Source organism: Homo sapiens, chromosome 11 (assembly GCF_000001405.40).
Source record: "Homo sapiens chromosome 11, GRCh38.p14 Primary Assembly".
NCBI classification, from domain to species: domain Eukaryota; kingdom Metazoa; phylum Chordata; class Mammalia; order Primates; family Hominidae; genus Homo; species Homo sapiens.
This window is the reverse complement of record NC_000011.10, coordinates 122,136,521-122,161,284: the sequence shown is the minus strand read 5'-3', so window position 1 is coordinate 122,161,284 and position 24,764 is coordinate 122,136,521. Positions and strand designations below refer to the sequence as shown.

Here is a 24,764-nt window from a genome sequence, read left to right as displayed (position 1 = left end):
AAGGTCATAAAAAACTCCAATGATGTCCCCTTCCCTAAAATCGAGGGCTCCTATGTGTAAAGGGTAGGCAAGCAGGCCCAGTTACAGGACAGTGCCTTTCTCTGCAAATGGCGGGAGCCAAATCTCCATCTTGCTAGCTTAAGAGTTGCTTGGCGGCCTTATTTCAACTGAGGCAGCACAGCTTGCTTTAGCCTTGAAGTGTGAAAACCAAATAGAGGTTGGCAGAGGGAAGAGATGGAAGATGCATAGCCTTCTTGGAGCATGAAGAGACACACCCAGCCCTTTGCAGAATGCAAAGACTTTTCCCATCCCTTCACCAGGATCTTGTCCCATGGCCACCCGTCCAAGGATTGCAACTAAATCAGCAGGCTCGATTGGGTGCTCGTCACTGGAGCTTTTCTGTTGTGGCTGGTGGGCAAATGTTTTGAACTTCCCTAATTTGAGAAGGGACTGAGCAGATGGCTCACCTTCCAACTGCCTTGGTGTGCATCTCACTAATCCCACTATCATAGCGAGGCAGGGAAATACACACACACTCACACACACGCACACACAAGTACACACACATGCGAGCACACACACACAAACACACATATGCACACATACACACAAACACCTGCAAAAACACAAACACACATAAGCATACACACTTGCACACACACAAACATACATCCTCAAATATGCACGCACGTACATAGAGGAGACACAAAGGAACAAACACATTAACACACATGTGCACACATGTAAACACACACACATGCAAACATGCAAAGTCACACATGTAAACCTACACACAGATTTGATTTGGGGGCATATAGTTTGCTCCAGTGCTCTGAGCAATTATTTAGAACATTTGTTGTCTGCCCTCTCTCTGTCCTGGGGAAGATTTTAGAAATTCTAATACGAGAGGCTGAGAAAGGAAAATATTGGCTTCTACAGTACAAACATCCCTGTCCTGAAAGAAAATGTTAATTTTCTTCTAAATCAAATGTTGACATATATCAGCTGCTACTGAAGATGTATCACTGTGGGACAAGCTCTCAGCTCCAGCGGGTGGACATCAGGCTGAAATCCCTCCTCCAAAATGCTAGCTGGTTTCTAACCTAAACAGGTTTGGTTTAGGTGTTTTTTTGAATTGACCCCCTTTGTTTTCAAAAAGCTGGTCTCTCTGGGACACCCTGAGTAGGGGAGCAGGATTCAACTTTGTCGAATGCACTGTTTTCTGCAGAAGCCTAGGCCCCTACACTGTCATCTGCAGTGATGCAGGCTCTGCTTGCATCTGCCAGGGGCACAGGATTTTAACCAAAGATGTGGGAGGGGGAAAAAGTATAGGGGTATGGAGAAATGAAGGAATCTACAGACTAAAGGAAATTTCCAGTGCTAGATGTTTTACCTATCCTTTCCCCATTGCTCCCAAAATATGCACTGTAAATATTCTTTGTTCAACACCTATGTTTTTAAAATCCAAATTAAGATTTCTCTACTTTTCCCCCCAACTAATCACACACACACACACACACACATGCACACAAACACACACACCCTTTTAACTTGTTAAGTTTGAAAGATGATGATATCTACAACCCGTGTGCTTTGCCAGAATGCACGGTTAGGGCCAAGATTAATGCAGAAGGTTGGTGCAACGTTGCCGCAGAGCAGCGTGATCAGAATACAAGATGGAGCGTAGGGGGAAAGGCCAAGAAATATGTCTGCGCTTGGAGTTTACACAAGTCTCCTTAGCAACTTGTCTGCATTTATTTTTCCCTTAATGTGTGTGGGTTTATTCCAAACCCTGAGTGAAATGGGAGTTGAGTTTCTGACAGTCCCCTATTTCCCTTCTTTGGGGGCAAAATTGTTTCATTTGGTGAGTGAGGCTTTCTCTTTTTTACCAGCTCCTTCTCCTCCCTTCCACCCCCGGCCCCTCCCATTGAGGGAGCTCTGATCCTTTGCATTGTGACTTTGTGGTCTGTTGGTAGCTTTCCAGAAAACCACCTCTCCGTGGGGGAATGAGCGAGCCTGTTTCTGATGGCTACAGCTGTGCAGATTTCTGCCACAGCCTTGCTGCTTCAAGTGCACGATCCTGTGCGTGGCACAAGTGTAAATATGCCTGTTACACGCCTGGGTTATAAAATCTGGGAGGAACAACGGCGCTCCTTTCCTCTCTATTTTTCTTTTTCTGTCTTACCCTCCTCCCTTTCTATCTCTACCACCCCTCCCCCAACACAAAGACCCTGTAATTCTAATTAGAAGATGAATATAAAGCTATTAGGAAAAAATCCTGACTTTTAGGGATTTGATATGTTGGATTTTATGTGGCTGGGCTTGCTGCAGGGGAGACGACCATAAATTCTGCAGTGGTTTTACCTAAAATTGTTTTTACCTTGAAATAGCTCTAGGGGAGTATAGATGCTGCCTCATTGGAGCCGATGCTGAATATAAATCTTCATATTTCTCTTTCTGCCCCCTCCCATTTTAGAGTCTGGGGAAAAAGGAAAAAAGAAACCTAGCCAAAAAAACGTTAAGGTTTGACTTTGGCTCTTTTACAAACAGATGTTGCTTGTCATTCTCTTGTTGTTAAGCAGGCACCAGATTGGATCAAGCAGCAGTTGTGTGTGTGTGTGTATGTATGTATGTGTGTGTGTGTGTGTGTGTGTGTGTGTGAGAGAGAGAGAGAGAGAGAGAGACAGAGAGAGAGAGAGAAAGAGTTAGGAGGTTGATGGAGGGCTAGAAAGCAAAATAACCAGATCAATATTTGGGACAAGTTGAGAGCGAGAAGTAAGGAAAATAGTCTAATACTTTTTTTCTTTCCCAACTTCAATTTGGTGAAGAGTATATAAAATCGTCTTCTAGTTGGTTGGTTGTTGTTCCAAACAAAGAGAGACATGTGGAAATCAATAGACATGGAGAGCCCTAGGTGGAGAAACGCTGACCTGCTGGGTGAAATGCAGAGAGACAGGGGTGTGTGACTTTTCCTCTGAGTGGATCTGCACCCTGGAGTAAGAAAAAAGGTCTTTCTGTTTCAGCTGAACATCTTTTCTTGGGTTTGAAGGTTGCTTTTTTTTTTTTTATAAGTATCATTTTGGACGTTCCAGGCTCCTCTATAACTTTCCCAGAACAAGACTCCATTGTCATGCGGTCAAAACCCTCAAGAAATACTCACTCTTTACATATTATGTATCTCTTTTCTTGCAGGATTCAATCTTCAAATCTTCCCAAGCCATCCTATCCACCCACTTTCTCATCTAATTGTGAGATACTTTCTCAAGAGCAAAACATAGCTTTGAACAGAAAGTGTTAAAGTTGGCTGGTGTCTAGGAAGCATTTATATAGCATATAGTTCACTTCTATTAAAGAGATGACAGTCATCTGATTTTTAAAAGTACGTGTCTGATGTTTCTATGTCAGAATCAAGGTCTTGTTATTTTTTCAAATTTCAATTCTCCTCCCCTGCTTTATTAGCAAAATAGCTAGAAAGGAAGTTGTAGGCTGGCATCATTGTTTGCATTTTAAAAAGGAAGAAAAATTGTCATCCTGAGCAAACTTATTCCTTTCAAAAGTGAAAGTAGTATACCTTAGCCAGCGCACACGATACAACTTGGTACTGGCAAAGTCTCTCTTTTGTTTCATCTAGTGTGTCAAAAGTGAATTTGCCATCAATTTCTCACTCTCAAATAGTTGATTTCTGTTATATGCCTGTTTTAAGTGAATATTAAGTGGGTTTAAGATTTTTTTAATTACAGAAAAGTAAGCTCACTATTCAAATAGTCTAAGAGTGTCTTTTGTTTTCATCCGATCTATCTTCTATTATACCATTTTCCATCTTTTCTCTTTGCTTGATCTACACACACTTGCATTTATCATTTTCATAAAATATTGTTTAGTGTGGGCAGGGTGTGGTGAGATGAAGATTATAAATATCCATCAATCTTCAGTGTTCCATTTGCTCGAAAGAAACATGAAAGCCATGGCATTGCTTTGCCATTCTCCTCGCTCCCTACTGCCTTCTGGCCAGTTTTTCCTTGTAAAAAGGAATGAGTTCTACCTAAGCTAACTGGTTTTGATGCCAAAAGCCTCTGCGTCATATCCTTGAGCGCTGCTCCCACTCTGTGGTCTGATATCCTTGTGGCAATGTCCCAGGTGGATAAAACGTGGCACGACAATTGGCACCAATGAATTACTCTTGGAGTAGCAATTGCTGGATGTGCCTCTTTTGTTGAGGTGATTGGATCTTTTGGCAAAAACCAGTGACTGCAAAGGATGAGAGAAACGATCAGAAAAACTGAAAAGCTGTAGGAGACCAAACACTAGTGTCTCCCCTGCTTCAGGGGACACCCACTGTCAGAGTGAACGACAAAGGTTAGATTTGAACAAGCTTTCTTTCTTTCTTTCTCTTTCTTTCTTTCTTTCTTTCTTTCTTTCTTTCTTTCTTTCTTTCTTTCTTTCTGTTTCTCTTTCTTTTCTTTCCTTTCTTCCTACTTTTTCTTTCTCCTTCTTTCTTTCTCTTTCCTTCCTTCCTTCCTTTCCTTATTCTTTCCTTTTTTTCCTTCTCTTTATTTTTTCTTTATTCTCTATCTTGCTCTTTCTTTCCTTTCTCTGTCTCTGGCTCTTTTTCTTTTTCTCTCTTTTTTCTTTTCTCTCTCTGTGCCGCTCTCTTTTCTCTTTTTTTCTCCTTCCTTCCATCCTTCCTTCCTTCCTTCCTTCCTCCTGTCCTTCCCAGATAAAAAATATTATCTGGTCAAACTGTCCCATCTGTTTGGGACAAAGGAGATCCACTGAGATTTTGTACAAGACGTACATTTTTAAAAAGGAAGGGGGGTAGAGGGCAGGAAATCTTTCCGTTGGTGTCGTTCTGCTGATGTCACCATGGATTCAGTGTTCAAGTCCACAGCCAGGCAAAACTCAAATAAATTTTCCTTTTTGCAAGCAGCTGCACTGTGAGTTCGCCTTCCATTAGTAAAGGGACAATGAAGGGAAGGCGAACCCCGCGTCCAAAACATGGCCAATGAAAGGACACTGGAATGGAAGCCAGGAATCCTGCTGTGGTGGAGAGGCATAGACTCATGAGTCCACCACAATCGGATACTTGCTTCTTTTTAACAGCCCTATCAGCCGAGAGAAATAATGACTCCTGAATCATTTGACAGTAAAAAAGTTAAAATGATGTCTCAATGGCGCTGCATCATGCCAGGTAATCACTGCCCAATTCATTGATTATTCCTTAAACTATTCTTAACCATAGATAGCCTATCTCTTCATCATGCTTAGCAAGTGAGTGGTTTGGTATAAAACATTTGTACAAAAGTATGGGAGTATTCCGAGACTTCACATTCCTATTTGATCATTTTTCTGGTAAAATTGTTCTCAAGGTCCAAGCGTAGCCAGGGGAATTCCAGGAAAGATTTGTGAAATTACTTATTTGCAGAACCTATTTATTATGCGTAGTTCTGGAAATGAAGTAAACATAATGGTTCCCGATGTTTTTCTAGAAATAGTTTTATTTCAGTTTTTGTTTTTCTTTTTACTCTTGTTCTAGTGTTACTTTCAACTTTACAAAAGAGTTGGGTGGCAAAAAAAAAAAAAAAAAAAAACAACTGAAAAACAAGTAAAAATTCTTAACCCATTTTAAAATATTGTAAATGTCTTATTTTCCAGACGCGCGTGGATGATTTGAAGATATTAGCCTAACAAGATGGAAGCAGGTTTAAAATTTTACATAAGAAGTTACCTTTTTCAGGTAATGGTGTTTTTCTGTAATTTTCCCAAACCTTTCGCTTCCTCAAGTATTGCAAATTTTTAGGGCATGCTTGAATGATTTAATTATGAAGAATAACTACATTTTAAACTTAATTTTTTAAAAAAGAAACCAGTTTTATAATTTTCCTAGCCAAGGAGTAGAGCAGGCATGACATTCAACTCTATGGAGTTTGGAAAATTTTTAGAAATTTATTACTGAACAGCACTTGGTTTTTTGGATTTGAAAATTAAGCCATAGAGCTACAACTAAATTCTGTTTTGCCAAACTTCACAGCACCAGCAGGCTCTGAGCAATCATAAGCATTTGAAACTAGCAGGCACTGCCCCTTAACTCTGTCGCTATCTTGGGCATTTGAATGAAAAAATATAAGTATTACAGGATTGGCTCTAAAAAGCCTACCATGTGTTCTGAATTCCTGGAAGATAGAGCTTATATAAATTACATAATAACAATATTGATTTTTTTTTTTACTTTAGTCATAGATTGGCAATACTATATGGCACTTTATGAAACTATTCCCATGCATATATTCAGTGAGTAGGATTTGATCTTAGCTTTCATGATACAGGCAGTTTCCTTTTAGTGTCATTGAAGGGCTTTATGCCACCTAAAAATGTTTAATAACATAAATTATATATTTGCTTTATAAGTTACATTACTCGGCCTTTGTCACTGCTTATCAGCATTAACCCATATTTTCCAACTTGTTAATATTACTAAGAGAGCCCACGGATTCTTGCTTAATGAAGCAAGCCAAAATTTCTTCTGAAAAAAACCCCTCATTTTCCTCCTCAACACAAAGAAGATTCTTAAAGGACGTATTCAATTAATACTTTAAGAAAAATATCTACTCCCAAACAAACCATCCCTTTACTAGGTCAGTATTTGATTTTCTTCTCGTTTTTTTCCTGCAGCCTGGGTATCTTCTGGTTGCTCTTTTATTTTCTAAAATGGAAACTTTGGATTGTTTGGAGGTTAACACTACAAACCATTTGAAATGAAAAACTTCTCTCTGTTCTATATTTGCCAAGGAAAGGGAGAGCTGCCCCCAGCTGAAACGCAGCATTGAGCTCCTTTCTGTGGAGGTCAAGAGCGCCATGCAAATTTATGAAAGTGGTGCTATTTGAATGTCTCAGTGTACCACTTTGATAGATCTTAGTCTATCGCTAACAAATATTGTATCGTTCTAGTAAGCGTGATGATAACAATTCATTCTCATTACTCTGGGACGTTGGGCTTATTCTGCTCCATTATAATAGGAGCACCTACATCCCCCACATTCCAGCAATATTTAACAGGGTTCAAAGTGGCCATCCTCAAATACCTCTAGCCCCATGCCTTTGTCAGAGAGACGGAAGGAAAAGAAGCAGCTCAGAGCTTATTTAAAAGTCTTTTATTTTAGAAAGGAAATGAACATTTTAAAATAAAATAAATAAAGACCATCTGGGGGTGACTGATTTGGATACTACTTACTTCCACTTGCTATTGTTATTTCTTTGGATCTGAAAATTAAGCCACAGAGCTACAACTAGATTCTCAGTTTTGCCAACCTTCACAGCACCAGCAGGCTCTGAGCAATTGTACCACAGCTCACTTGTGATGAGATGGGGAAACAACAAAGTATCTATGAATGGTTATGTCTCAGTTTCTGTTCATCGTACTGTTGGTTTCCTGTTCTCTTTATTTAACTTTTTAGGTTGCATACACGAGGGCCTGCTCTTTTCTCTGAATAATTCCTCAATTCAGCTCTGTCTTTTTTTGTTCCCCTTGGTAGGGCTTCAGTTCATCTCCCAGATTCTTTTTTTTTTTTTTTTTTTTTTTTTTTGAGACAAAATCTCACTCTGTTGCCTAGGCTGGAGTGCAGTGGCACAATCTCGGCTCATTGCAACCTCTGCCTCCCAGGCTCAAGCAACTCTCATGCCTCAGCCTCCAGAGTAGCTGGGATTACAGGCGCACGCCACCATGCCCAGCTAATTTTTTTGTATTTTTAGTAGAGACAGGGTTTCACCCTGTTGGCCAGGCTGGTCTTGAACTCCTGACCTCAAGTGATCTGCCAGCCTTGGGCTCCCAAAGTGCTGGGATTACACACATGAGCCACCAGTGCCTGGCCCCAGATTCTTGAGAAAGGAGTGAATGTCCATTTTTTGAGGCAAATGAGATAATTATTTTGAGAGCCAGGATCCATAATTATAGCTAACAAAAGTTAAAAAGGTCTCTTTTTAGGTCCTGTAAAGGGATGGAGTCATGTGTGTTTCCCAGCATCTAGGACAGGGAGTTATTTAGCTGTATAATATATGTCCCTGAAGTGCTTATGATTATGCCTGTCTTCAATACAATTCACAAAAGGCGTCGTTAATGAAAGTCCATTGTCTTGGATGTTCCCTTCTTATATGTAGAACATTGGCTTTGCAGAAAAAAAATGTTATGTTGACAAATGCAATCATTTTATAAGAAGGTCTCTGAAACAGATTCATCCCTGTTTTTTCAAACAGTATTGCGGGGGGCGGGGGGTGCGGGGGGAAGGAGGAACAACTATGTAATTTCTTCTATGGTTCAAATTTTACAGAGTACACCCAAACTTGCTCATTGTTGGTGTTTGAATCAATAATAAGTGTGGGGATGGGATGGGGGTGGGAACAAAAATGCAAACTTTTCCCGAAGATGGATCTTAATATACCTGAAAATCTACTCTAGAGTGGTTTTCAAAAAAAAAAAAAATATACCTATAAATCCGTTGGTAGTACTTGCTAAGTTTATTCTAGTTGTTTTCCAGAATGCAAATAGGAAAATGAAAATTTCACCATCATTTTTAATGTAATGACAGGTATTTAAAGGAATGGACTTGCATTTGGGCTCTCATGTGTTCTTTCTCTCTGCCTACAATTTAAAGAATTTTCTTTATTCTGCTGGTTTGCCATTTTGGTATCACTTTGCCCAGATTATGTGTTCAGCAGTGAATAAATGAGTCTTCCATATATAAACAGTAAAATGATGAGGTTTACCTAAAGTCCACTGGATTTGTGGAAAAAGTGGAAACCAAGGGAAGCACGTTGGGGAGAACATAGAAGATATTGCTTAACTTTTGCTTTTGTGAGAGTGGGACGAAGTCCTTTCCATTTATGGCATAAAACAATTGAATGGTAGACTCTTTTATTGGATTAATGGTTGTAATATTTTATTTTCAGACATGTCACAGCCCCAAAAGAGAGAAGATATTGAGGCCTGTTGCCACAAACCCGTAGATCCGAACTTGTGGTATTAGTCCGCACAAGCTTGTATCTATAGGTATGTGTCTGTTAGGCAATCTCACGGACCTGGGGCTTTGCTTATATGCCATTCAATATCCCTTCGAGTTATTTCATTCTCCTTCTCTTCCCCTTAGTTTCCTTTAAGAGTGATAAAAATGGAAAAGGGGGCTGAGGTGGAGGAAGGAGACCTTTTGTCCTGAAATGAATGAGGTTCTTCAATGATGAATTAATAGGCTGGCCCTCAATTCCCATATCTCTTGTAACTGGTCTCTGCTGTCAAATTAGAAGGCTGAGCTTACAGGTGAGGCAGCAAGAATTTGAGTGATTGGAACAACTTACTGTTGAGTGATGAGTAAAGAGATAAACAAGGGTTTGTTTTGTTTTCTGTAAGCCTAATTGTTTTCAAAGTTATTATGATATTTTCTGGAAAGTGGCAGATGTGTTTACAGGACCAATTTCACCGTGATTTGGGTTTTTGGGTTTTCCTTTGTTGCAATTCTTCCTCCCCCAATTTCCCCAATAATTTTGCTTCTGAAGATAAGGACTGATAAATCAGAATGGATGTGTTTAACTGCCTAACTATTTATACTTCTATTTATATCCAGCAGTGTAAGAAGGACTTCTTATAAAAAAGAGATCGCCTGTTTAGGTCCAAATTCATATTTGGCCAGAGCTGTTTTATAAGTCTTTATCCTGTTTAAAACGCTGGAATGAAAATAATTTTATCCTCTTGCCTCTTAAATGTCACCATTGTGCCAGGATTGAAAAGCTAAACTGACCACAGATCAAAGCAAAACTGGCTATATTTGTTTCATTCCAACAATGTGAGCTGAGGAGTCTGTAAACAGAACTAGAACCCAGGGTGAAAAGTTGATCAGATTTGGATGACTCTAAAACTTTTGCATGCCCTTTTGGTAAAACATAGTGCCAGAAGTTCCCTTAAGATGTGTGTGTGTGTGTGTGTGTGTGTGTGTGTGTGTGTGTGTGTCCTCTTCTAACAAAAAAAGTCAACATGAAGTAGTTGGTGGGTTAACATTAGAGAAAAGTTTGAAATTCAAGTGGATAAATTCTGTCTCCTCTTAAGACCTACTCAGGAATAACTAAAACTCTTTCTTTTATCCAGTATATAGAAATGAGATTTTGCATTTCCGAATTAGGACAGCCTAGATACAGATGACATATGTATAAAGGGTAGAATTTGGAATTCTGTAATTGCTAGACCAAGACGACATTGTTTCCATGCATTTCCTTTGCATAGCACTGAGGAGGGTTGTCTATGGTGCTCAACCCCCTGCTTGCCAAGAAAGCATTGCTTTATTATAGAATGATGGCATATTACAACCCAAAGTGAAAGACTGTCCTCATTGGTGTGTGTTGTATAAATTGTTTGCCTAAGGCCTTTATCTACACAAAAAGCAAACAATTTGCTTGGTTAGTTTTATATGCCTCTTTGAAGTGGTTAACTTGGAATGAATAAACTGCTAGCAAGTTAAATCAGTACCTCCACTAGATAAATACTTGTTTGATAACGGCAAAATCACATCTCTACTCATCATCCTTTAACCTGCTGTTAAGTGTACTACCATGGGATTAGCGGTGGAGTTCATGGATCCATGGGGACCATGAGCTCCCAGTATTCCCCGTACAGGAACAATACTGGGACTGCAAAATGGCCAGTGGGTGACTGCCAGATTACTTCTTTTAAGGAGGTTTTTAAAAACACATTATCCCAAGAAAAAAAGATTATATAGAGCAGTTGGCCCTTTCAAAGTTTCTAAACGGCTTCAAACTTTGATTCATCTGGTTAGAAAATATTCTAATGGGAAGCCCAAAGCCCCTGGACATTGGCCACAAGAAACAGGATATTAAATATTTTACATGATGAAATTCAGTATTTTTCCCTCCTTCCATGTTCATGAATGAATGGTTCTGTAGATATTAATTATTCCTTTGAGGCTCCCTCAGAGTGTACCAAATATCCTACAGGAATCATGCAGAAAGTAAAATAATTTCAGAATTTCCCCAGAAAGGCTTGGAAGAAATATTTCAACAGCTATTATTGCATGGAGGAAATGGAATGGGTATAAAGCAAACTAGTTTTATTAAATTTCTCAAATCATCACTATCAAAATATATTTAAGATGTAATACCAGGACATGGTTTAGATTTGTTTTTTTAAAACAGGAAAAGAAACTTATTCCGAGAAATGCATTTGATAAAGCAACTCACCCTGAGCAACTCACCCTGCAACATCAGAGTTTGAGGAGGGAGAAGCTGAGATTTAGCTTGAGAAGTTTTCTTATTTATATTTCAAAATTAATAGATGTATTTCTTTACATGGGAAAAATGGTATGTGTATGATAGAATTAATTTTGAATTTTAAACTAATATGATTTCTTAGTTTTCCAATGTGCTTACGAATCATTCCTCAATATTTGTTAGGTCCTGTGGATCCTTATCTGTTGACTATGGTATTTAATCCCATCAAATGCCACCTAGGCTCTCTAATTAAGATTTTTAAAGCCTCTACTGCCTGTAATAGCACTGAATTTGTACAGAGAAGTCGATGTGAATGACTCTTCAAAGATATTCAAAGATTTATTAGAACCTAACATGGTAGTTAATAAAGTATGAATTGGAAAAAAAGTCACTTTTTACATTGGGCATAGCCGTAAGGCTAGAAAAATTATGATTTCTTCATTCTCTCATTCATTCAACAAACCTTTATGAATGTTTACTTTGTGTTCAGCACTTTGCTAAAGGACAAAGATATGACTCTGGCTTCAAAAAACTAATTATCTGATCAGGGGCCCCTTTGAAGAATTGCGTGTCAGCCATACTGACACATGTTTTAATGAATCCCATGTTTTAATCAAAACATTTGTCCAACTTCCAAATGCCTAATCAAATATAGAATATGTTTACTAATGGGGTGTCTCTGCTGTTTCCTAATCTCAGACACTCATAGCATTGTTTGAGGTTTATCCTTACTTCGTTTGGAGGATTGCTGCTGGCAGCACTTAAAACCTCGGTGTTTGATAGCATGAGAGTCTGTTTACACGTGTTCAGAGAATGTATGGAAGATTTTTTTTAAGTTAATAAGTACAATAGATTGTCTCTACCTGAAGATATACTACTGTTGTTCACCTATAAATACTACTTCTTGTTTTATTTTTCACTCGTACTTTTCGATAAGAATTTTTATGACATCATTCCATATCATAATTGCATGTTGTTATTACATGCCTACAAATATTTACACTAATTATGTAATGAGCCATAATTGCACTAATACATGATAATGGGCTAAAATCAGTGTAAATAAACAAGGAAATTCACAACCAAAAGAGCAGGGTATTGAAAACCATTAGTATTCTAAGAGCAGCATCTTTATATCTTTGACCCCCAGAATAAGAACGTACATGGAAAAAGATCAATTTTTCCATTTCTGGGTATTTAAAAGCCCTCTGAACTGTATGTTGTGGCTGATTGACTAGCACTCTAGCACATGGATCTTATCCTCTCTTTGTTGTGTCTTCCTTTGTCAACACTTACTGCCCTTCCCCTGCCTTGTGTCCCATTCATAAGGGTTATATATCGTGATTGTGCTTACAGAGTCAGGCACAGTGTCACTGCAAGGTGAATGAAAAAATTCAAATTAAGAGGAAAGAAAATGAATTATATATTCTTTTTTGGTCACAGTAAGTGTTAAATCTTCTACATAAGTGAGCATCTAGTAGCAGAAGACTTGGAAATACATCTTGAGTTTCCATAGGAGATCTGGGATTTAAGGTTAAACCGGCCAGGTTGAATTCAGCCACTCTGATTTTTTGCCCTCTCTGGAATCTTAATAGCAAATCCATCTTACTATGAGTGAAATTCTAACATAAGTGGAAGAACAAAGGATTGGACATAAAAATAAAAATGATCATCCCTTAACTGTAAGTTCATTTATACTCCCATTTATCCATTTATGCATATATTCTTCTTTTCATTTGACAAAGTTTTTTTTTTTTTTTAAATTTCTATATGTGCCATCTACTCGCCATTGCAGATAATACCAGATTGGCAAAGGTGAATTATGGGGTCCCATTTTCACATAGCTTGGGGTCCAGCGAATGAGACAAACAGATAAACTATAATGCAATGATGTGAGAATTAAAGCATAAATGCATATATGAAATTGTGAGATAATCAGAGGAAGAACTCTTTCAAATGAGGCTTGAAGGATGAATGAGAGTTTTTTTTTTTTTTTGATAAAACTAACCTCCCAGTCTTTCTCCCAAACTAGGTAGCCTTGATCTAACAGAGGCAGCCCCCCCGCTCCGCCCCCCAAAAAAAGCAGTTTCACCTCATCAAAGCATAAGGAAATAGGGTTGGAAACATTGGAAAAAAAATCACTTTTCTCCAGGCTAGTGGAATAACATGAAGAAACATCAATGCTATGGCATTTGAATCTGTCTTTTGAACACGATCAGTGCAGTAGAAGTATCAGGAAGATTCTCAGTGTGCTCAGATGTGCCTCCATCTCTATTTGCCTAGGCTGACCTAGCTCCTTTGTAGCACAGCCTTTACTGGGCAAAACCAGAGTCCAGCTAAGCAATGAGGAGAGGTGGCTTCTGATAGACCACAGAGCAGTCCTTGTGGGAAAATATAGACCTGACCAAACTTGAGTTTACATAGAAATGAGAAGTTGCTAAGCTTGTAGGAGCCTATCTCCTGCTCCAGCACCTGCCTGGGACTGAAGATACAAGAAAGATTCAGTTTAAAATTATGAGGTGGGTGTATCACAAGGTCAGGAGTTTGAGACCAGCCTGGCCGACATGGTGAAACCCCGTGTCTACTAAAAATACAAAAATTAGCCGGGCATGGTGACACACTCCTGTAATTCCAGCTACTCAGGAGGCTGAGGCAGAAGAATCACTTGAACCAGGGAGGCAGAAGTTGCAGTGAGCCAAGATCGCAGCACTGCACTCTAGCCTGAGTGACAGAGCAAGACTCTGTCTTGGAAAAAAAAAAAATTACAAGTGCAAACAGGGAAATAGGCACATTTTGTAGGTTGTTGAATAGACTGTTGGGGACAGATTTATGAGAAATGCTGAAACAGTCAACTCTGGAAAAAGGAGCACTTTCTAAATATGAGAATTATGTAAAATACATGATAAATATTGTTGGGTGGATGTTCAATATAGCTTTTGCGGTATTTCTTAATCTGTATTTTGCTCAGAATCATGTTTTCTATGTCTTTTCACTGTGTTTTGGTTTAAGCCATTTCTTCTTATATATCCATCTTTTAGTGATTCCAGTTTTTCAGTTTTACCAGAGGAACATTTATTTTTCTAATCTTTTTTTAATTGCCCAAGTTTAAATATTGTTCTACTATTCTATTTCGTCAACAGATATCAGAAGGCATTAAATTGTTCAGAATCACCATTATGTAACATTACTATAATTTCCATGCACAAATAGTTCAAGAAGGCCAGTCCCAAGTATTTGCTCCCTTCATGTTTTCATGGTAATCTCAAGCCAAGGTTTTTGTGTTATCTCTTCTATCATCAGACTCTTTGATATGTTGTCTCTTATGAATGGCCCAAATAGGTGACAGCACGATGAATCATTATAAGACTAACTTGTAATTTCCCTGCTTAAGAAATGGTAGTTTTCCAGCCATTGTGACTGCATGCTCCCAGGTTGAGGTAGTAGGTTGTATAGTTTAGAATTACATCAAGGGAGATAACTGTACAGCCTCCTAGCTTTCCTTGGGTCTTGCACTAAACAACATGGTGAGAACGATCATGATTCCTCCAGGCCTTTTCTCCCTATGAAAGGTAAGATTGGGTACGATTATTTTATGGTATTTTAGAATTCAAGTTTTGTTTAATCCTTGTACCCATGCTGTATTTTCATATTCTGTTTCCTCGGGTTAGATTTTGTTTTAAGAAAAATGTGAGGCTTTGAGGGATTCAGTATATCAGGTGTCCATTGTCACAAAAATGCTGCATAATAAACACCAAATTGTCACAAAAAATGCAGCATTGTCACAAAAAAATGCTGCATAATAAACACTACAAAGCCTCAGTGGCATACAATAAATGCATATTTAGCTCATGAGTCTGTGTATCTGTGATTTACACAGGTTTTCTGGTCTTGCCTGGGCTCATTTCTTCTGGCTGTCAGCTCTAAGATGGGGTCACTAGATTGATGGGGGCAGCTAATTTCTGTGCTATGTGTCACATCTGACAACAGATTAGTTCTAGCACATTCTTATGGTAAAGGCAGAGGAATAAGAACAAGGACAAGCCAAGTGACTTAAGGATCTTACAAGCTTCTGCCTGCTTTGTATTTGCTAATATCTCATTGGTCAAAGGAAGCCACATGGCCAATCCTGAAGGCAGAGTGGCCACTACTACAAAGTTTCATGGCAAAGGACATGAACTCAGGAAGGCATTACAAATTGGGGCTGTTTTTTTGCAACTGTATTGCACTTTCTTAGATATCATCAAATTAAAAGAATTTTGTACTCTCCACTCAAGGAAGTTTCCAAGATAAAGAGCCATGTTTTGGAATTCACATTTTGGGTTTTAGGCTAAGCTGGTCTTTGAATGCAATTTTATATCCCTCTTATTGAGATATGCTCTAGCCAACCTCTATGAAAACTTCTATGGAAAAATACCAAAAGACTGGAATAGTAATAATGTAGAGATTGATTATCTCAAAGCATAAACTTGGTCATTTCATAGTGATAACCAATGTCATGAACAACAGACATTTTACCTGTCTTAGATGGAAATCCCACAATCTACAAAGAGCATATGAGCAGCCAAACCAGCACTCAAATCCAGATCTGTCAATTAGGAAGGAGTTAGTTGTTCCATGTCTGGATACTTTTCAGTAGAAAATACAGATGGGTAGTCAGAAGGTACATAATGAGGTATTTAGTCCATTTTATTATTTTCTGGTAGTTTAATGTACAAAATATGTCAAAGGAAATGGTTATGCAGTCTGTAGTTATAGTTTCTCTCTCTCTCTCTCTCTCAGCTACCTCAAAGAAAAGATGAAATTCCCTGTGTCAGGATTTTGATTCTATGCTCAAATATTTTTATGGTGAATTACCACCAGTGATTGTCATGTTACTAAGAGGTCAAGAATAACTAGCCCCATGTCATAAAGAAGCACGGCTGAAGGTTCGATGTTACTTTGAAACCACCCTGGTACTCTGCAGCAGAACTAGGAGCAAGACTCAAAGGCTGCTGTGCCGTCTTTATTTCTTAGCTCATTCTTTCATTCTTTAGAAGGGACTATGCCTTGCTTTAGAAGATGCTGTCATTACTTTGTGACATTTATTATGAGTTTAACATTAAGCATACTTGTTACCTGTATCTGTGTTGGATGAGTTTGTATATTAAACATCTGTAGCCACTTGACACAGATGAGGACCTACTTATACTGTTTATACATTTATAAAGCTTCTTTTTTTAAAAAAAAATCATGTTATCTTTTTCTACAAAACAATAAGATCCTCTCCTTTTCAATGGGATAAACCTGAGTGGGTTTACACATCCATGATTCCCAAGAGCAAGCTAGTGTTTGGGATACCCTGCTTCTGAAGACAAAGTAACCTTACTAGGATTGAATTTCTACTGACTTTAGTAATGAGGTTTTATCTACTAGAGTTTAAATAATGCCTTATGTGCTTTTAGAATGGCTGTAGTGTCTAGGAGCTCACATTGTTTTGATTTTTAGCCAATAGCTCATGGTGGGACAAAGAGTTTGAGAATGCAAGGAAAATAGATAATGTTGGAAGCCACTTTAGATACCATCTTAGTGTGAATTTCAGCAGTAGTGGATGGGTAAAGTATTTTCCAAAATAATGTATCCCTTGTCTTCATCTTTGGTGAGTATGTGTTCTATTTCCTCAGGGAAACTCTTCACTGAATTTTATGTAATGGACAGTCATTTTTAACCCCATAAATCCCAAATACATCATTTAGACAAATGGCCATAGTATCTTCTAGGAATTAATCTCAGGGTTTAAGAAGGAAAAGAGGAGGCCAAGACAGGGTGGACCACTTGAGGTCAGGAGTTCAAGACCAGCCTGGCCATCATGGTGAAATCCCATCTCTACTAAAAAATACAAAAGTTAGCCAGACATGGTGGCATGCACCTGTAGTCCCAGCTACTCGGGAGGCTGAGGCAGGAGAATCGCTTGAACCCAGGAGGCGGAGGTTGCAGCGAGCTGAGATCGTGCCACTGCACTCCAGTCTGGGTGACAGAGCAAGACTCTGTCTCAAAAAAAAAAAAAAAAAAGGAAGGAAAAGAAACTTGTAGTGGGATACACTTTTACATATTTATCAAGAAATTATATCTCTATGGGTGGTACATATGTTATTTTAATTTTTCAGAATCTGTTAATCCAGCTATTTTCCTAGTTCACTGATGAGCTTCAAAACGTAGAAACACTGCTGGCATCTTGACCTTCTTCATCCAGCAAAGAATGTTTTGCTGACCCAATTTAAGGGGACTGGTCATTTAGAATAGTGAGTTTATAAACTTTATTGAAGATGGATCATCTGTGCTCCTTAATTAGCAGGCATAAGATTCTTTCCTAATTGGCTTATTAATAGAGATACTAAAGCTAGCATGTAACAGTGCAAGCAGCCCCCTTCTTATACCAGAAATGTATTTACTTCTAAAGACAGTCTTGTGAGGACAAACAGTAGCCTTCTCTCTAAGTTGACTTTGGCATATTGTCTTCTCTGAGCTTTATGAAGATCTTAGGAAAAAGGAGTAAACCAAGTTTTTCTTAATTCAAGCAATATATATTTCCTAAATATTTAATATAAGTTCCAACTACAAATAGAATAACAACGTAGGCCACTGCTATTCTTTCTAACCAATCCTTCAGGGCAGATGCTGCTGTTAATACATGGAACACACTCTAGGGTAGCAAAGTTTTACATAATCAAATGCTTCTTTACTCCAGAAGTCCAAGTACTTAAGCTGAGGGTAAGAAATCTGAGGATGGCTTCCCATCTTTACATAAATACATCAAGTTTCCCCCTTTAATTGTAGGTCACACAGCCTATATTTTTAATATATTTTAGTTCCCTTCACTAATACAGAACCCTTTGATGCAGCACACAAAAAAGTTACATTTTAGAAATAGGGATATTGTGACATTGAGCAAGGTCCTATAGATCTTCCTAGTACAATGGTCATTCATTCAACAGAAGCATGCTTGACTCGTGCATGTAAAGAGAATTCACCTGGGGACATGAGTACATGAGTGCTGGTACCCAACCTGGTTCTGCCATAGTCAAATCATTTAAACATTATGACCTCCACTCTTCAAATATGTAAACTCGTGGAATGAAACGCAATAGTTTCTGTGGTACCCATAATGAATATTCTGCAATTCTGGGATTGTCACTCAGTAATCTTTGATTTCATGAGTAGACTCTTACTTCTTTTTTTCTTTTTCTTTTTCTTTTTTTCTGAGACGGAGTCTCACTCTGTCGTCCAAGGCTGGAGTGTAGCGACGCGATCTCAGCTCACTGCAAGCTTCGCCTCCCGGGTTCGCGCCATTCTCCTGCCTCAGTCTCCCGAGTAGCTGGGACTACAGGTGCCCGCCACCATGCCCGGCTAATTTTTGGTATTTTTAGTAGAGACGGGGTTTCACCGTGTTAGCCAGGATGGTCTCAATCTCCTGACCTCCTGATCCGCCCGCCTCGGCCTCCCAAAATGCTGGGATTACAGGCATGAGCCACCGCGCCCAGACGACTCTTACTTCTTAGACTACATATCCTCCTTGTCTTATAGCGTGGAAGGGTATTTCCCCAATTCTATCTCTGCACTGTCAAAGGGACATGAGCAGAATAGTAAGGAACATTTTCAGTAATGGTTGCCACATCAAACTACTAACGCTGAAGGCCATATTAAGGCAATGGAAAAAGTAGCCTGAGAAGAAAGTAAATATTAATCCCCTTGTTCGTTCCGTGGTTTGCTGATGGCTAAGGTAATAAAGAAAAGTAAATTAGTTTCTGCCAAGTTAATGTCTATGATCAGACACTGAATATCATTTTACAGTGTAGATTATCTCAGTGGTGAACAGGAGGGACTGTGTCAGATTCACCACCTCCTTCCCTGGTTCCCGTTTGTGCTCTTTCTGAACAAAAATTATGTGCTTCGTGCTCCACCGCCAACTGCAGTATGGAGCACATGAGAGCTTCTGTGGCCCTTCTCAACCCTTTTACATCAGTCACAGAACTCCCACTGTTCTGTGCTAATGCAAAATGCAATAACGTTTAGCATCAGGACATCTCTGAGTCAAGAGGTTAACGGAAAACACATCTCCCATTGTGTTCCTGCAGCTCTGATACTGTTAATGGCGAAAACACCATGGAGACAAATAGATCTCTCTTTATTCAGGAAGCTTTGAGTGAAGAGAAAGTATATATGACATCTTTACAGCATGAGAGCCTCTCTATATGGTGCATTAAGGAGGGTGGAGGAGGGGAGAAATTCACGTAGCGTCATGTTTAATATGGCTTGAGCCTTGTCTAGAAGATGGATTCTGTCTTTTTCATTTTCTTTCTGTTGCTTTAATAAATCGTTCCAGTTCTGGCAGGGGAAAATGAGACTTAACTTCTCAAGATACAAATTCAGGGAAAGAGGACTCTTTGAATAAGCACAGTAGAGACTTTATGGGGTATTTCCTAAAATGTGATCCAAATAAATGTTTGATAACATAGCCACCTCTTTCTGACTTATCCTACTTTGTGCATCTTGCCTTTCTCTTCTGAGTGCTTCAGGTAGAAGGAATGTGGATCAATATATTTGTGAAAAGGAACCAAGGCAAAACAAATCAATACATTATGATTACACTGAGATTTTTACTTGAAAATTACCTGAAAGTAGACTGTGTGCTGTGTGTGGCCATCTAAAGATCACAGGCAAACACATTTTTGTGATCTTATTATCTGTTCACTTGCGAGGCTATCTCAGGGGAATCTTAGTCAAGATCACTTCTTGTTCCTATAAGACTTTAAAAAGAAATTTGTTTTATAGTTTATAAACTGTGATCAGAAGCTAAAATTAAGATGTCCCATTTCTTCAAGTGCTAAAGACTTTTCTCGCTGTGATTAAAAAAAAAAATTCTGGGTCAGGAATCCATTTTCAGGGTTATCTGCACAGTTCGGATCCCACAAATAATTATCACTTTTTATATTATATATAGTCTTTGAAACATTTGAGGGATATACATTATTTATTACTGCTAAGTCCTGCTGTCATATGACTGTGAGGGCTTTGATGAGGGGAGTGGGGAAAGAGGAGTGGGACACACATTCAGCTTTTACATTGAATCAAAAACTTTTAGACATGTTTCCAAACCAGGCTGATCACTGCAATTCTAGTGCTCTAATTGTTGATTGAATTGTACCAAGGGCAGCCAAATTTCATGTATCAAAGTTCATCAAGTCCAGGAAAGAAAGACAGCAATTCCAGAATGACTCAGTGATGAATTCTGTTTGATGAATAAGGCCTCAAGTGTTCTGTGGTTGCCATTTTTATATTTGAATAAAATGTATAGGATTCAAGTCATAACTTGAATTCCAAATTGGGATGCATGATGCTCCATGGTGAGCCTGCAGTGTTAGAGCAACATACTGCTCCTGCTCAGCTGCCAATAAGCAACTTCAAAGCATAAATGGAACATTCGTGGTGTGTGTTCTAAATCCTCGAGGGGCTTGAGAGTCTTTTAATCTATTTGTAGCTTTTTATTATTGAGTAACGAAGTGCTACTGATATACTGGAACCAATCTGCAAAACACATATTGAATGAAGCATAATTAAAGGATAGTATATCCCCCAAAGACTGAAGAGAAAGGTGCAAAATGAATTTATGGAAAGTAAACTTTTTATTATTTGCCATGACCAAGAAGCAGAGTTTTCTGGTTAATCAATATAGTTTTTAATAGAATTGCCATGTATGAGATATACAAATGACCAGTTTTTAAAATAAAGAATATATTCTGCTTAAAACTAAAACTTTTGGCTGGGCACGGTGGCTCACGCCTGTAACCCCAGCACTTTGGGAGGCTGAGGTGGGTGGATCACCTGAGGTCAGGAGTTTGAGACCAGCCTGGCCAACATGGTGAAACCCCGTCTCTACTAAAAATACAAAAATTAGCCAGGCGTGGTGGCGGGCACCTGTAATCCCAGCTACTGAAACTTCGGAGGCTGAGGCAGGAGAATCACTTGAACCTGGGAGGCGGAGGTTGCAGTGAGCCGAGATCATGCCATTGCACTCCAGCCTGGGTGACAAGAGCAAAACTCCATCTCAAAAACAAAAACAAAACAACAACAACAAAAAACTGTTTTAAATACAATTTAACATCTCCTAAGATTTATAAGTTATTCTGAATCCTGTATGCTTCAAGGTCAGTGTTATAAAACCAAATTTATCTTGTATAATTAGTTGACACATAAAAGTACAAATTATAGACCTCACTTGGCAGAATATTGGTTAAACTAGAGTTCACCATTTATGTTCTGTGGCTTAAGTTGGAAGCTTATGTTAACATTGACTGATCTTATCTAATGGGAAAGTGCCAAAATGTTCTGTTGCAAATAAAGCATTACTCTTAACCGATCTATCCAAATGTTTACTTCTGGATATAGCATATATTTATCCTGTAAGCTTGGGTGGCTCTAAATTCATCCAGCTCTGTTGGCCATTGCCTGCCTTGCCAGATCTTTTCTCTACCGTTTTCTATCTAGCTCTACGCTCTCAGAGGCGCACCTTCATGCATTGCCTCAACAGTCTCTTTTGCCCACCGGCTTCTGAGTGTGTTTGGCCCAAGTAAGTCAACAGGGAGAGATTAGAGAGAAAGTGAAGAGAGAGGTTAGGGTACTGAAGACAGAGGTTAGGGTACTAAATGCCCCTGACTCACTTCCTGTAGGCTACAGAGAGGACCTAGCTTTATTCCTTCCTGAGAGAGGCCATCTCTTGCAGTTTCAGCTCTCTCTCTGGCCTCTGATAACTACTCCCTCTTCTTGCTCTTTCAGGCCTTTGGGTGTAAGGACTTCCTGCTATTGTTAGTCCTGGGACACTTCACCATCTCTTCTTGGTCCCTCTTAACTCTGTCCAATCTTTACAAATTATCCTTTCATTAAACTTTCCTCAGTTTCCCCATGTACATGTGTGATTTTCTTGTCTAGACTCTGATTCACCATCTGAGGTCAATGTAAATGAGATAGCAGAAGTTAGTCACTCACTTTTCATCATGTGTGGGAGATGAGGGTCGGAGGAGTAGATATTTATCTTCCCTCTCATACTGTAAGCTCTGGAAGGGCAGAGACCATATCTAATACTGCCTTTATGATTTCTTGCAAAACCTGGCAAAGGGCTTAGCTCACAGTGCATGCTCAGTGCACATGGAGAGTCTCACTGAGTTCTGAAATCCTCAAATTTGTTATAGGCTTAAATAAATATAAGCTCTTGACTTAGGATGTAGACTTTAAGAAGTCAAGGGCCACACTATTTTTTTTAACAGCATTTCTAATGGAATATAATCTCTCATGATACAACTATCATACCGACTCTGGAAATTCTAACTGAATAAAAATAGAAAATTTCCTTCCTGGGTTAGGTTGATTTGTGTTTAGCTGATAAGAAATAATTCTGCTTTAAATGTTTAGATCCAGTTTTTCTAACTTTTAATTTAACGTTACCAGCTCATCCCCTACTATTCGTTAGTTTTTCCTATTTCTGTACGTGTGTGTGACTTTCACCTCTTCAGGAATATTGACAATTTTCTGAATATAATCTCAGTAGGGAAAACACGTAGGGTGATCAAAGCAGGATTTAAGAACTAGGGAATAAATGACACAGTGACCAGAATAGGTGTCTTTACTATTTATTTATTTATTTTGCGACGGAGTGTTCCTCTTGTAGCCCAGGCTGGAGTGCAATGGTGCAATCTCAGCTCACTGCAACCTCCACCTCCCGGGTTCAAGCAATTCTCCCGCCTCAGTCTCCCAAGTAGCTGGGATTACAGGCACCTGCCACCACGCCCAGCTAATTTTTGTATTTTTAGTAGAGATGGGTTTTTGCCGTGTTGGCCCAGCTGGTCTCGAACTCCTGACCTCAGGTGATCTGCTTGCCTTGGCCTCCCACAGTGCTGGGATTACAGGCGTGAGCCACCGTACCCGGCCTTTAGGATGTAGACTTTAAGAAGTCAAGGGCCACATTATGTTTTTTTAACAGCATTTCTAATGGAATATAATCTCTCATGATACAACTATCATACTGACTCTGGAAATTCTTAAGCAAATTCTTATTTCTTAAGGTTCATATTGCCGAGTCACTTTGACTTTTACCCTAATGCCAAACTTCTGTATACTTCAAGTTTCAATAATATTTCATATTTTATGTAATATAGAAAATAAAGATGGAAAATACTTTGGTTTGTAAAGCAGTAAATTGTAAATGTATCATTCATTTTCTACTCTGTACAGATTCCTGTTTTAATATCTAATTTCTCTGAAATTAGTGAAAGTAGGTTAAGAAAACCAGTGAGGTACAACTTGCCTTTTGACTTTCTTAACTGAAAGGAAACTGCCTGGCTAGTTCAAAGAGCAGATTCTTCACTGTTCACATTTTGCAAACAAGAGCATTTCTTTAACAAATGGAGGAGGGTGGACCATTGTCAATTCAGATAAGTTAAACTTTGCATCTCCCTGATAAGCTGAACTGTTTCATGATCATTTTACTAGTCCACTTGGGAAGTGACTGAAGCACTATTAGATAAGTTAAAATGAAAAAAAAAAAAGTATGGAAAATATTTTTACCAACTGTTTCTTCTTGGCTTCTTGGCAAAGATCAACAGTTATGTTCCCTATCTAGGGATTATCTCTTGTGGGCCAGACCGGATGATCTAATAGGTCTTTATAATCTCTAAATACTGTGACTTTTATCCCCAAGTGAACTACATAGTTTATTTACATAGAAACACACTCGCAGGCTTAAGGAAATGCAATCTGACTAATGCTAAAGAAAGTGAGCCAGGATGACTCAAATGACTTTTTTTTTTCTAAATAGGTTAAGTAAATTAAAATCATAGACATTCTCTCTCATTCCCCTCCAGCATATCAGTATGTAGATTTTAGATGTCAGAATTCTCCAGTAGTGAATTAGTTTTCCTGCCATCAGCGAATTACAAACGGCTTGTCCCTAAACCTTTGTCATACTTCAAGAAAGCTCTTAGACAGAGATTTGTTTTAATTTTTATTTTAATTCCACATTCTATCCCAGATACATGGAAAATTAAAAATGTTGGGAATGATAGAAAAATAAAAATTGCTAGAAAAATGCCAGCATGATAAGTAAAGCATAATCACCGTGCATTTCTACTTTATTAAGAATGTACTTTTGGTGTTGTTTGTTTGTTTTGAGACAGACTCTTGTTCTTTTGCCCAGTGCAGTGGCACGATCTTGGCTCACTGCAACCTCCGCCCCCAGGTTCAAGCAATTCTGTTGCCTCAGCTTCCTGAGTAGCTGGGACTACAGGCGCCCACCACCACGCCTAGTTAATTTTTTATATTTTTAGTAGAAATGGAGTTCCACCATTTTGGCCAGGCTGGTCTCGAACTCTTGACCTCAAGTGATCCGTCTGCCTTGGCCTCCCAAAGTGCTGGGATTACAGGCATGAGCCACTGTGCCCAGCCTAAGAACGTATTTTTGTGCCATGGGCTACATT

At 38.8% G+C, this 24,764-nt stretch overlaps 1 long non-coding RNA gene and 3 other non-coding genes across 17 annotated transcripts in view; all 4 read left to right on the top strand.

Annotated features, from left to right (window-relative positions):
* MIR100HG (mir-100-let-7a-2-mir-125b-1 cluster host gene) overlaps positions 1-24,764 on the top strand; it is a 394,543-nt gene that overhangs the window by 261,587 nt on the left and 108,192 nt on the right. For 7 of the 14 annotated variants that reach the window (NR_137179.1, NR_137193.1, NR_137180.1 and 4 more), the window contains one exon: positions 5,653-5,734. The exons of 3 other annotated variants lie outside the window; for them this stretch is intronic. This is a non-coding gene — a long non-coding RNA (mir-100-let-7a-2-mir-125b-1 cluster host gene). Of the gene's footprint in view, positions 1-4,171; positions 4,357-4,913; positions 5,189-5,652; positions 5,735-24,764 lie in introns of those variants that run through there. 4 more of the 14 variants (NR_137187.1, NR_137186.1, NR_137188.1 and 1 more) reach the window with 2 other exon arrangements.
* MIR100 (microRNA 100) lies at positions 8,977-9,056 on the top strand. The gene has a single exon (NR_029515.1). It is a non-coding gene; the product is annotated as a microRNA 100 (primary transcript).
* On the top strand, positions 9,129-9,182 carry MIR10526 (microRNA 10526). Its single transcript, NR_162117.1, has one exon. It is a non-coding gene; the product is annotated as a microRNA 10526 (primary transcript).
* MIRLET7A2 (microRNA let-7a-2) lies at positions 14,692-14,763 on the top strand. The gene has a single exon (NR_029477.1). It is a non-coding gene; the product is annotated as a microRNA let-7a-2 (primary transcript).